The following is a 12130-nucleotide window of genomic DNA, read 5'->3' as shown; positions in this document are numbered from 1 at the left end:
TTCTGCCTCCTAGTGGCTGTTAGAATATCCCTCTAATAACTAATAGATCACAGAAGAGCTTGGCCATTGAACAAACCCTTTCATTTATGGAATTTTTCCATAATCATCTTTCATATTTTCAAATGCCTTCCCATCTTTTTTTGGTGAATGCTCCGGAAAGTGTTTCCAATGTAAATACTTTGCGGCATTGAATGGGGATGTGGGGGACCAGAAGAGGCTGGCAATTTGTTTTTGTTTTTCTGCTCTCTTTGAAATCGGCAAAACAGGGCCTGTTGACACTGCCACTCATTCTGCATGCTCCCTGCCAGAAATGATTAGTCAACATGCATGCATGCCTTTGAATTGAATTCACATCTGGCCCAGTCTGATGTGAATGTCACCCCCTGAGACCCTGCACAATGATTTCCAAGGGCCCATGTGCATGAAAATGAGTTACTTCACTGATATTTTTTGGTTTTCAATGTACATATGTGTCCAACCCCCAGAAAAGTAACTCCTGATCTTACTCAGTGTTTTCTAGCCTAAGCCTGATCTTTCCTCCAGACTGGATACAAAACCAAAGCCTCCTTGCTTAAAAAGATTACAACTCAAAAGTTTTGTGACAATTGCAACAATGGTTTTCTTTGACTTAGTATGAAATAGGAGTAACATTTCCAATGTGTAGGGAAACATGAGTTCTTGAGTTTTTGTATGAGACCATAGACAAGCCCCAGATATGTAGATATAAGTGAACAATAATTACAAATTTTCAAGTTAGACCAGCAGAAAACCCATAAACACAGTGAAGAAACTCCCAGATTTTAATACCTTAGAGCAAGAACTAGCCAACAACAATGACAAAGAGCATGACTCAAAATGTACTGAGTTATTGTAAATTGAACAGAAGTTCCACGTCTGTCATTTCTACTGCAGCATCCTCTGACCCATAGGTCAGAATAAAGGCTCTCTATGGCAGGCCTGGAATAACGCAAAGCACTGCCTTAAACACTTAACACCCCAATTGTATCAAAAATTCTGTTCTCTTTACAATAAAATTACCAAACCCTGCTGGATGCACCATTAATTTTGAACAGTGAGGGCTGGAATTCACGTCTTATGTCCGAGAAAGAAGCTCATCACTTCTTTGTCTATTGTTTTTCTGCCAAATTTTAAAGGCCTTTGCGTGGTGGTCAGATTTAATGGTGGAGCATGCGGAGACGTTCCTGTCACTCTTTGCAGTAGACATGGATGCAGCCTTAGAGGTGCAACCTCCAGACACATGGGACAGTTTTCCACTATTTCAGCTGCTGAATGATTTTCTCCGTACTGACTGTATGTATTACCTTTGACTGTTTGACTTTCCTAAGTAGTGTGCAGATAAACAGATCACTAAGATGTCTTTATCCCAAGCAGACTACAGGCTTGACATAGCTCTTCATGGTTTTATTATGATTAACCCCACCCCCCAAAAAGAAACATACAGCTGAAGGGTATTCCCTTTCTTCCAAAAAGTATCCTGTTCTAGGGACGCTCTCTCTTAACTAGACAGAATAACCTGAGAGTAATGTGAGAAGAGGTATCCATTTTTTGTGTGTTTGATTGTCTCTCAAATTAATTAACCTCTTCATATTTTGCAATTTTTATCAAAAGATGCTTTCTAGATGAAAAAAAAATTTCCAGCTGACTAACATGTCAAGCATTTCAGAGTATGTTATAGTGACAACAGCCATAAAATAGACCTTCCTCCCCAGGGAGGGTGATGAAGGAGGGCAGAGTATGAAGAATGTTCTTTCTTCCTAGGAACTTAATGGGAAGAAGGGAAGTGGGTGCAAGAAAAACAGAAAAAAAAATAGTGTGGATTGTTGTTTCTGTTGTTTCTTAAAGTAGCATGATCGTTTTTCCTTTTAGAAGATCAATACCAAGGGGTAAAGTGTTTTTGAATTCCATTTCAATGCTTTTTATGTACTTTTTTCCTTCTCTTCTCTTTTTGGCTTCCTTAGAAGCAGTATATTTAATGTAGAAGACAATCAATCATCTGTGTGTGTGTGTGTGTGTGTGTGTGTTTGTGTGTGTGTGTGTGTGTGTTGTACGTTGATAAAGTAGCTGTGGGTTCTTAACAAGCTTTTGCTTATCTGTTCTAGATAATTTGTGCAATGGAAAATTTCACAAACACCTGCAAGACCTGTTTGCCCCACTTGTTGTTAGATATGTGGATCTGATGGAGTCCTCAATTGCACAATCCATTCACAGGGGCTTTGAGCGGGAGTCATGGGAACCAGTCAAGTAAGGAAACCTTTTTTGATACCATCGGAGTTTGGGTACAAATGGCTGGAGAGTAATACAGAAATGGATTAATGATGTCATATGGGTTTCACTGTTATTGTGGACAGAGAGAAACACCATACATTTCTTCTACTATGATGCTCATAGCTTCTTTGCCCAAATGGCAGGAGGGTCGGGGATGGAGGAGGTGGGTAGGGTAGGGGAAGAGGCTGAAAAAACGTTTCATGAAATGAAATCTCTTATTGCACAAGATAAATAAGGAAGAAGGAATATAAACTCGGCTGTGATATTTGTGTGGTATGTCTTACTCCAATGGTGTTATCTCTAGGATTCAGTGTTTCCCAAAGTGTGTTCGGTGGGGTTCTAGGCAGGGAGGTCAGCAAACTTTTTCTATAAAAGGCCATATACTATATACTTAGGCTTTTGGAGCCACATAATCTCTGTCACAACTCAACTCTGTCATTGTAGCATGAAAGCAGTCATAGACAGTATGTAAATGAACGAGTGTAGCTGTGTTCCAATGAAACTTTGTTAACAAAACAGGTCCATAGTTTGCCATTGCCTGGTCTAGGCCTTTTAGATGCACCTTTTTAAAAAAAACCTTTATGGCCAAGTATGTTTAGGAAACAATACCTACCCCACTGACCTAGAATTTTGTGTAACTCTGTTTAACCCGGATTTTCCTAAATGTATTTGACAACCGTGTGCTTTTTTTAAAATGGGACATATACCCTGCAGGATAAATTATGGGAAATCTTGTGGGTTGCAAGTTTGTCAATTTCCACAAATGTTTGGCAAATTTTAGGTCTTATTTGAAAATGTTTGGCAGGCTTGGTGCCATCTCCATTCCCCAAATGGGAAGAGGGCTTGACTTGAGGCTCCAGAGGGTCAGTCTCAGACTCCCCTTTCTGAAAAAATAGAGACTCCTATATGGAGAGTTTGATGGTTATGGTTTGATGGTTTGAAAAGCTCCAGTAAAGCCTACTGCTGGATTTGCCTTGTTAGTTTCTTTCTTTCTTTCTTTCTTTCTTTTTTTAAGGAAATCATTTCGTTCATGCTAGTATTTTACATCTTTGGGATGCAGCAAACAGTATGGAGCAAAGTAGAGGGATGTTACAAGCACATTTTAGGAACTCCAGAACAAATATTCATGAGGCCTTTCCTCAGTTTGGAAGCCTTGACTTGCAGCCTATTTTTAAGCAGTTTTCTGAACTGAGACCCTCCTCTAATGTTATACTGTATAAGGCTCTCACTGATAAATTAATGCAAAATAGGCTTTTCTGCCCCCCTTCCACATCTGAGCCACAAGAGGAGTTTCCCTATTGCAGGGAGGTTAATAACCAGTAGCTCCTCCTTTGCAAATACCAAGAAATTTAAATTTTAGTTTGTTATTCTCCAGTTTATAACAGTCTCTTAATATGGCCCTACTGACTTTTCACTCATGAGGGTAGAACTGGATCCCTTGATGGTAAATTATTGAGAGCCTCTATTTTTTTTCAATGTTCAATACAATGAAGACAGTTGTGCTGGAGAATAGCTATTAAGAGGAAAAGGTTAAAATGAGTAATATTTACGTTTTAAAATAACAATGGTCTTGAAATAACATTTACTTACTTGCACTTAAATACGGAGACTACTACTACCAACACACATGGAAGAGAATAATTGGTATCCTTCACTATTCCTTGAAGAGCCCTAGATTTAGTGCCCATTTACTAGCCAGAAGTCAAGGGTTCAAACCTCTATGAACTTGTTTGCTCCCCTGCAAAACTGAAGTTTTAAAAATGTGCCTGTCCAGTGTCTGAGAATTGTCATGGAACTTCGTGATAATGTCACTAAGTCATTTTATAATCTGTTAAATTTCTTAAAAGTCAAACACGGCCGGGTGCGGCGGCTCACGCCAGTAATCCCAGCACTTTGGGAGGCCGAGGCGGGTGGATCACAAGGTCAGGGGATCGAGAACATCCTGGCTAACACGGTGAAACCCCGTCTCTACTAAAAATACAAAAAATTAGCTGGGCGTGGTGGTGGGCACCTGTAGTCCCAGCTACTCGGGAGGCTGAGGCAGGAGAATGGTGTGAACCCAGGAGGTGGAGCTTGCAGTGAGCCGAGATCGCTCCACTGCACTCCAGCCTGGGTGACAGACCGAGATGCCGTCTCAAAAAAAAAAATAATAAAAGTTTAACACATGACTGCTACTTCTTTGGGGGCATTAAATATTCTTAATACCATCAGAAATAAAGATAGACTCAAAAATCATCTTCATACCTGGAAATCTTAGTCTAGGGATGTTTTCTTGGGAATATTTTTACCAATTAAAAAAAAATTTGAACTCTTGCATGGGCAATTTAAAGGTCTGCAAATTGTGAATAAAGGAATAATAGTTGCGAATAATAACCTGAGAATTATGCAGATACGTGTGTGTTTTTTAGTAGCTTTTTGCTATCTAAAATTATGCTGTTAGTGAATATGATTGTGGTTTGTTCAATTCATACTAAATAGTATATGCCTTTCAGAGTCTGTGGAGATCTTTAAAAGTGCCAACTAAGGGCTGGGTGTGGTTGTTCACACTTGTAATCCCAACACTTTGGGGGGCCAAGGCGAGAGGATCACCTGAGGCCAGGAGTTCAAGACCAGTCTGGGCAACATAACCAGACTCCATCTCTACAAAATAAAAAAAGTAGCCAGGCATGGTGGCACAGCATGTAGTCCAAACTACTCAGGAGGCTGAGGTGGGAGGATTGCTTGAGCCCAGGAGTTCAAGGTTACAGTGAGCCATGATCCTGCCACTGTACTCCAGCCTGGGGTGACAGAGTGAGTCCCTATTAAAAAATAATAATAATAAATAAATAAATAAATAAATAAATAATAAAAACAGTGCTAACTAAAATACAAGCTACCACACACACTGTATCAGCCGATTTTTAAACAGAGTGTGGATGCCACGGGGCAGCTTTGCAGAATGGAATAAAATGGAGTGTAAAAAAGAGCTTGGAGACATGTTATGTGCTAAGAGGAGTGACTCTCTCCATGTTTCCTACAACGTGAATAGAAATAAAGTGTGAACTTCCATCTGACTACTTATTGGTGGGTTGATGAAGAAGCAGATTCATTTCTCTTCTTAGATTTTTTTTCCAAGTGAAGAATGATCTTTTTGGCATACTTCTCATCAAGCTCACCCCAAAACAAGAAACTAACTTAGGTAAATAGATTTAGTTTGCTCAGTCTTTTCCATTTTTGCCACAGAATCTTCCAATACATACATACACACACACAGCCTTTCTTTCAAACAATTGTTATCCTCAAGTAGTTCTGTTCTTCTTCTTTTCAAAATTTATAAGCACCTCGTTATAAGTAAAATGAGAAATGCATTGTAATGAAATGCAATGTAATGTTCAAAATAATTAGCATGCAAAATGCTGAAGAAAAATAGCAATCTGACAAGAAAATGCTACCAATGTATTGAGTTTGCTAAAAAGAGAATGAAAAATATCCTTTATTCTTCAGATTTTCTTATTTCAAAATATGGCCCTGTAAAAGAAAATAGATATCATCATTTAGGCTTGATACAATTAAGGTTATTTAAGATGAACAACAAAAACAACAACAACAAAAATAATTGAAGTTATTTGACGGAAAGGGTAAAATGGCTGAGTCCTATGGCAGCCTTTCCCTAGAAAGACAGTCTTCCATCTCTTCGAAAAGAGAAAAGGGAAGCTACATCTCTGTTTCCGTTAAGCCAGACACAGTCATGGTTAGAATCTCTATGAATTGGTGGACAATGTCATCTCTTTGCTTCTAACCATAGCTAAAGATAGTCAGCTTCTCAAAGACAGTCCCAAGTTGTCAATAAAATCTGGAGCCCATGGCCCTCTCATGGGTTTCCATCAGGACATGTAGTAGGGTCACCACTCACAGTTGGGCAGGTTGCCCACAATCCTTCTGGCAGCTGTGAATATGAGGTTTTGGTCCTAACAAGAAATGGACAACATTTCCATCAGCTCTTCAGTGTTAGCTCATTGGTAATAAGCCATGGTGGCCTTCAATATGAAAGAAAACCTAGAAAACAACTCATTCAAAGTCTTACCAAGTCTAGTAGCTCCACCACCCTTGCCTACTACCTTTTCCCTGACAGATGGTCACTCAATCTTTACTTAAACACCTCCAGGCATGGGGAATCCTTGGCTGCATGGTTGCCCACTTCAAGTTAGGACTGTTCTGAGGCAAGAGCCAGAACTTAACTCTGGAGGTGGGGTTCAGAAACCAGACCAAATTGGGAACTAGCTAAAACAAGGATGGGGCAAAAGTGGCTTTCCATAAGACATTCCCACCAGTGTGCCCTGTCAGTTTACCATTGCCATGGAGTTACCACTCATTTCCATGTCAATGACCTGATGACCCAGATGTTACTACCCTTTGCCTAGAAATATCTTGCATAAACCTCTCCTTAATCTACATGTAATTAAAAGCATGTATAAATATGACTGCAAAACTGCCCTGAGCTGCTTGCTACTCCAAGCACACTGCCTGTGGGAAAGCCCTGCTCTGCAGGAGCAGTCACAGCACTGTAACACCACCAGAGATTTTACACTACCACTTCAATAAAGCATTTTTCTTCCACTTTACCATCGGCTCACCCTTGAATTCTTTCCTGGGTGAAGCCAAGAACCCTCATGGGCTAAGCCCTACTTTGGGGCTCTCTTGCCCTGCATCAGCTCTGAATGGTAGAACTAAACACTGCTTCTTAATATATGCACACTGTAAAATCTGGGATTCTCATTTCTCAAAATGCACTTTCTCACTCTGCCTCAGATATGCATATAAAAAGTATTTTTTAATGTCACTTTCCAAATAGTCATAGATATCAATATCTTTTTTTTTTTTTTTTTTTTTTGAGACGGAGTCTTGCTCTGTCGCCCAGGCTGGAGTGCAGTGGTGCTGTCTTGGCTCACTGCAAGCTCCGCCTCCTGGGTTCAAGCGATTCTCCTGCCTCAGCCTCCCAAGTAGCTGGGACTACAGGTGCCTGCCACCACGCCCAGCTAATTTTTTGTGTTTTTAGTGGGGCAGGGTTTCACCGTGTTAGCCAGGATGGTCTCGATCTCCTGACCTCGTGATCCACCAGCCTTGGCCTCCCAAAGTGCTGGGATCACAGGCGTGAGCCACTGCACCTGGCCATCAATATCTTTTTTGAAAATAGGTTTTATTGTATATATTTAAGATATAAAACATAATGCCATAAGATACATGTGAAGTAAAATTGTTACTATGGTGGAACATATTAGCATATCAACCATCAGACCAAAGACACCTTAGCAATATGCAGGTGGCCTGGTGTCAAATAGACAAGTAATGTACTTGGTGTCAGATCTCATGATTCTGCCAATAATTTGCTGGGTGACCTTGGGCCACCAAGTGTCCTGAGTTGAGATCCTCCCTCAGTTCACCTCCCTGAGGCTCAGTATCCTACCTTGTCAAACAAGGACTTTGAATAACCAAAGCTTTTCCAATGCTAACATTCTTGAAGATATCACTGTCCATATTCAGACACATATACACATTTGATCATCGCTGCCTCCCTAACACCTATAACAGGGCCTGGAACATAACAGGTGCTCAATAAATGTTTGTTGATTAATTGCCATATTTGTTAAAGAACCCACACAGGCTGAAAATGATAAGGATGTAATGGGAAAACTATGGGGATGTTTCCCCAGATGAGGGTTTCAATCTAGTTGGGTCTGAGCAACATACACACAAGAAAAATGACTTTATGAAATGTCAAAATTATCATGAAAAAGGAAAAACGACTCTATTTGCCAATGTAAAATCTGTAATTTACAAATAACATAAGGAAAAGTTATGAGGACATAAGAATAGAGGGAAATCAATTTCCACTAAGGGGTCATGAAAAACGTAGCTTGAGAGCAGGATTTCAAAAGGGGTAGGGATGCTGGGAAAGATGATGTACAAAGGTAGAAATACAAGGGAGGGAGAGCATGCAAACGCTGAGTTTTCGCCAGCATGGATTATAACAAAGGCAAGCCATAAAGTTGGAGAGATGTTTGGGAGGTTCTAAAGTCCCACAAAGTTTGGAATTTTTTTTTTTTCTGTAGATGATACATTCTCAATGGGGGCTTTACAGCTCATAAGTTGAGAAAATTGACTCAGGTGGGAGGGTGGCGCTTAAAAACGTCTTACTCTTTTTATATATATAGCACAGATCTACATATAATACATAAACAGATATTCTATATATCTGTTGTATTAAATTTTCATGGAGAAGGAAGTTGTGGGGCAGGGTGATAATGAGTAAAAGATTGTAAAATACTGCTCTAGATTCTAGGAAGATATTAGAGAATGCCCCTGCCCCAAAGTAGGGATTAGACCTAAGAACAAACACTGACAGAGGCTTCAGTGCTCAAAGCACTAAGAAAAGACAAGATGTGCTACATATATGCATGCAACAACTGATTCATAAAAGTAGAAGGCATTTTGTATCTTAAATACAACCCCATCCATAAATCTAAAGCCAAAATCTTTGAGAAAGGTACAACTCTATCCCTTCTGCATGGAGTCAGTGTCTTGATTAGAGTCAATTCTAGAAGCAGGAATGACTTCACCTCCACTCATTTCTATCCATAGAAATGATGAGACGTGCACACATCTGTGACATTCATCCATGTAAGAGTGAGTAGATGAGAATGTTTCTAAACCATCCACGGATGGGCACTTTGGCCTAAATGGAAGCTATTCTTTTTCAAGAGTCCCCAAAATGAATGAAAGAGTGTAAATTTTAATGCATATAAGTTGTTAGGATTGCAATTCATACTTCTTGTACTATCCAGAGATATCCAATTATGATTCTCTCAGAGATGCATAACTAACTTGTTTTAAGGTAGCTGCTAAAAAGGCCCTCTTCAAAGTAATAATTCATTATAGTCATCAGCAGTTCCAGGAGCCTGATTGGAACTAAGTGCTACTTAAAAATTCCCCCTTTTCACATGTATATTAGTAAAATATTATGCTTAGAATTACCTCCTTGATTCTTTATGTTATTAATATCCAAATGAAATATTAGTAACACTAGTAATACACTACATTATTTTTCTAAAAGCAGAAATATCAAGCATGTTTCATCCTTTTAAAAGTAGAGCATTATAAAATTTGAAAGCAGAGCATTAAAAAAAGAGAAGGAAATGTTTCTATGAGTCCAGTGCAGTAGTCTAGCTGAAATGTCATATTTTACAAATACAATATGTTTTGATTAATAGAAGTATTTTTTTTATTTTTGTGTGCAAAATGAAGCTTGCTTCTAATTTGTGTACCCGCCACCCGCTAATATGTTTAAATTAAATTGCTTTTGCATACATTTGTATGTTATGCACTCCTAGCTACTTTTAATTTGCTCAGAATTGACATTTTAACTTTCCGGGCTGCCATCTCTAAGATCTTCTAATTCCTTGATCATTATTCAGTGTGTGTATCATTTAATGATCACATTTGCTTATATAGGCTTACACATGTCTCAGTGGAAATCGCCAACGGTTTTGTTACATGGCAGTGTTTAAGACTAAGAGCCACCAGGGACTGAATTCAAAGGCAAATTCCCCATTTAAACAGAGACACATAAAAGGAAAAGTTCCATTTTCCCTTCTGTTTAATAGTCATATAGTTAATCTTTTCTTGACCATTCCCACAAGAGCACCCTTTAGTTCCAAGTAGAGATGTATAATTGGCTTTCCCAAAATGTGAGGTGTAAAGGACAAATTTATGAGACACCTGTTTCCCTTACAGAAGAGAATGCCAGGTAGACAATTTTGCATTCTAGGTTTTTCAGTCTATGAGCTGGGGCTATATTGCCATTGTGAAAGAATAATCTGTTTCTAGAGGGAGACAGGTATCCAGGTGATCTTCAAGGTCCAGAATTTCTGACTTAGCAGAAGGCATGTACCCACCTCCACCCCCCCACCCCCTAACTTCCCCCTTCCCTAACTCCCCCACTCCCCCACTCCCCTACTCCCCTACTCCCCCACTTCCCCACCCAAGCAAGCCCAGAGGCAGCTCCAGCTCTTGCAGGAGTCCTGTTAGTCAAACACAGCTTGCCCAGGGCAGAGCTGCTTTGGCAAAACTTGCTCTTCTCCTGCAAGATCCAAAAAGAGAACCTCAAGTCCTTTGCCAAAGTGCTGTCAACTTCACTTAAACAGGAAGGCTCCTCTCAGATGCAGAGTTAGGCTGGGCTCTACCGTGCCAGTGACTTTGGCTGGATGGAACACCCTTAAAATGCCACTACTGAGACACACGGTGCCAGCTTGAGGAGCCGTGTATGACACCGTCCTTCCAAAGAAATACAGTTGATTCAAGTTGGGGGTTTTGTTTTGTTTTATTTTCTCCCTCTACTTATAAAACCATCCATCTCTCTTCCATCACGTCAGTTGATCCATCTTTGTCCAAAAACAAAAGGCTGGTATGAGGTAACATTTTTAACTTTTTAGTCACTTATTTTAACTTTTTACAGAAAAATACAGAGCTTGATTAATTTTCACAAATTGAACACACACCCATGTAAGCCATCACACAGATCAAAAAGTAGAATCTCCCCAGAAGTCCCTTTCATGCTTTCTCCCAGTGTCTGTCCCACTTCCAAGGGTAACTATTATGATATGAAGCCACATTTTAAATCCACTTTTGGTCAAAGAGTCTAATACAAGAGCTGAATTGGGGATTGTTTTCATTTCCTTGGTGTCTGTTTCTGTGTGTAAACATTTCTGCATTTTTGTTGAACTTAGTTTGAGAGAGAAAGTTTCTATTTTCTTTAAATGTTCTATAAAATTATTCAAATCTGATCTTTCTTCTTGATACAATTTCATAATTTCACCATCAACTGACATGCCATTGCCCATACACCTGTCTTTAGAAGCAGCAGTTAGAAAGAGCTTGGTTTCTGTACATCACCATTAGGTGTGCCTCCAAGTGGGTGAACTTCCTACTCTATTTGGTGTCTAACGTCTGATTGAGAAATATGCCTCCATCAACAGTAATTTGTTTTAAAAATAAGAAAATTGAAGTGCTCCACCATTTCTATCAATCCCAGTGACTTCACAGCAACCCCAGCCCCAGCCACACCAAGAATTCCAGGAACTTCAAGTTCTTAGCATGAGAAAAGTTCTAGACTCTTATGGCAATGGATATGGAAACCAAAGGCCCCTCCCAAAGGCATGTGATCATTGTGTATGGGTGCACTTTTAAGTCACTGTGTGGTTAATTTTTCCATTAACTTTTGTCATTTCTCTGGATACAGAGCCACACCACAGCTTCCCATCTGTAAGCTGCTTTCTGAAGTGTGTCGCTTGAGTTTTTGCTGTTGTCTTGCTGTGGACTTGGTCAATTTATTTACAATTGTCGTGTGCTTCTGCCACATCTGCATTGTCACTGTGATGGTATTTTTTCTTTCTGTCTGTTTCTTCCACAGGAGTTTAACCAGTAACCTACCCAATGTGAACCTACCCAATGTGAACCTTCCCAAAGTACCAAATCTACCAGTTAACATCCCTCTAGGCATCCCACAAATGCCTACTTTTTCGGCACCGTCATGGATGGCTGCTATATATGATGCGGAGTGTGTATTCAGTTCACATTAGATCTCATTTAAATTTAAGTGATCTTGGCATGGATATGTATTGTTTATTTCTATACATCCTATATAACAGAGATGGAGATGGATAATTAGACATATTTTGCTGATCATACAGAGACAATATTGTTTATTTCTGGCATGCATCATGTTTGTAAGATGTTTGCTATATATACAGCACTAACAATTTGTCTTACGCCCACTGAATGCTGGAGGACTATGTTTCACTTCCTGAAT

General features: G+C 39.6%; 1 protein-coding gene across 50 annotated transcripts in view; it reads left to right on the top strand.

The window, feature by feature from the left end:
- CADPS (calcium dependent secretion activator) overlaps positions 1-12130 on the top strand; it is a 477069-nt gene that overhangs the window by 381816 nt on the left and 83123 nt on the right. For 27 of the 50 annotated variants that reach the window (XM_017007378.2, XM_017007377.3, NM_003716.4 and 24 more), the window contains 3 exons: positions 1155-1311; positions 2121-2262; positions 11732-11878. In XM_017007378.2, the coding sequence (XP_016862867.1) occupies positions 1155-1311; positions 2121-2262; positions 11732-11878 (446 nt within the window). The remainder of the gene's footprint in view (positions 1-1154; positions 1312-2120; positions 2263-11731; positions 11879-12130) is intronic. The other 23 variants (NM_183393.3, NM_001438352.1, XM_011534199.3 and 20 more) reach the window with 1 other exon arrangement.

The sequence above is a fragment of the Homo sapiens genome, chromosome 3 (genome assembly GCF_000001405.40).
Source record: "Homo sapiens chromosome 3, GRCh38.p14 Primary Assembly".
In the NCBI taxonomy this organism is placed as follows: Eukaryota; Metazoa; Chordata; class Mammalia; order Primates; family Hominidae; genus Homo; species Homo sapiens.
The sequence above is the reverse complement of the archived record's forward strand: the minus strand, read 5'-3'. Positions and strand labels throughout refer to the sequence as shown.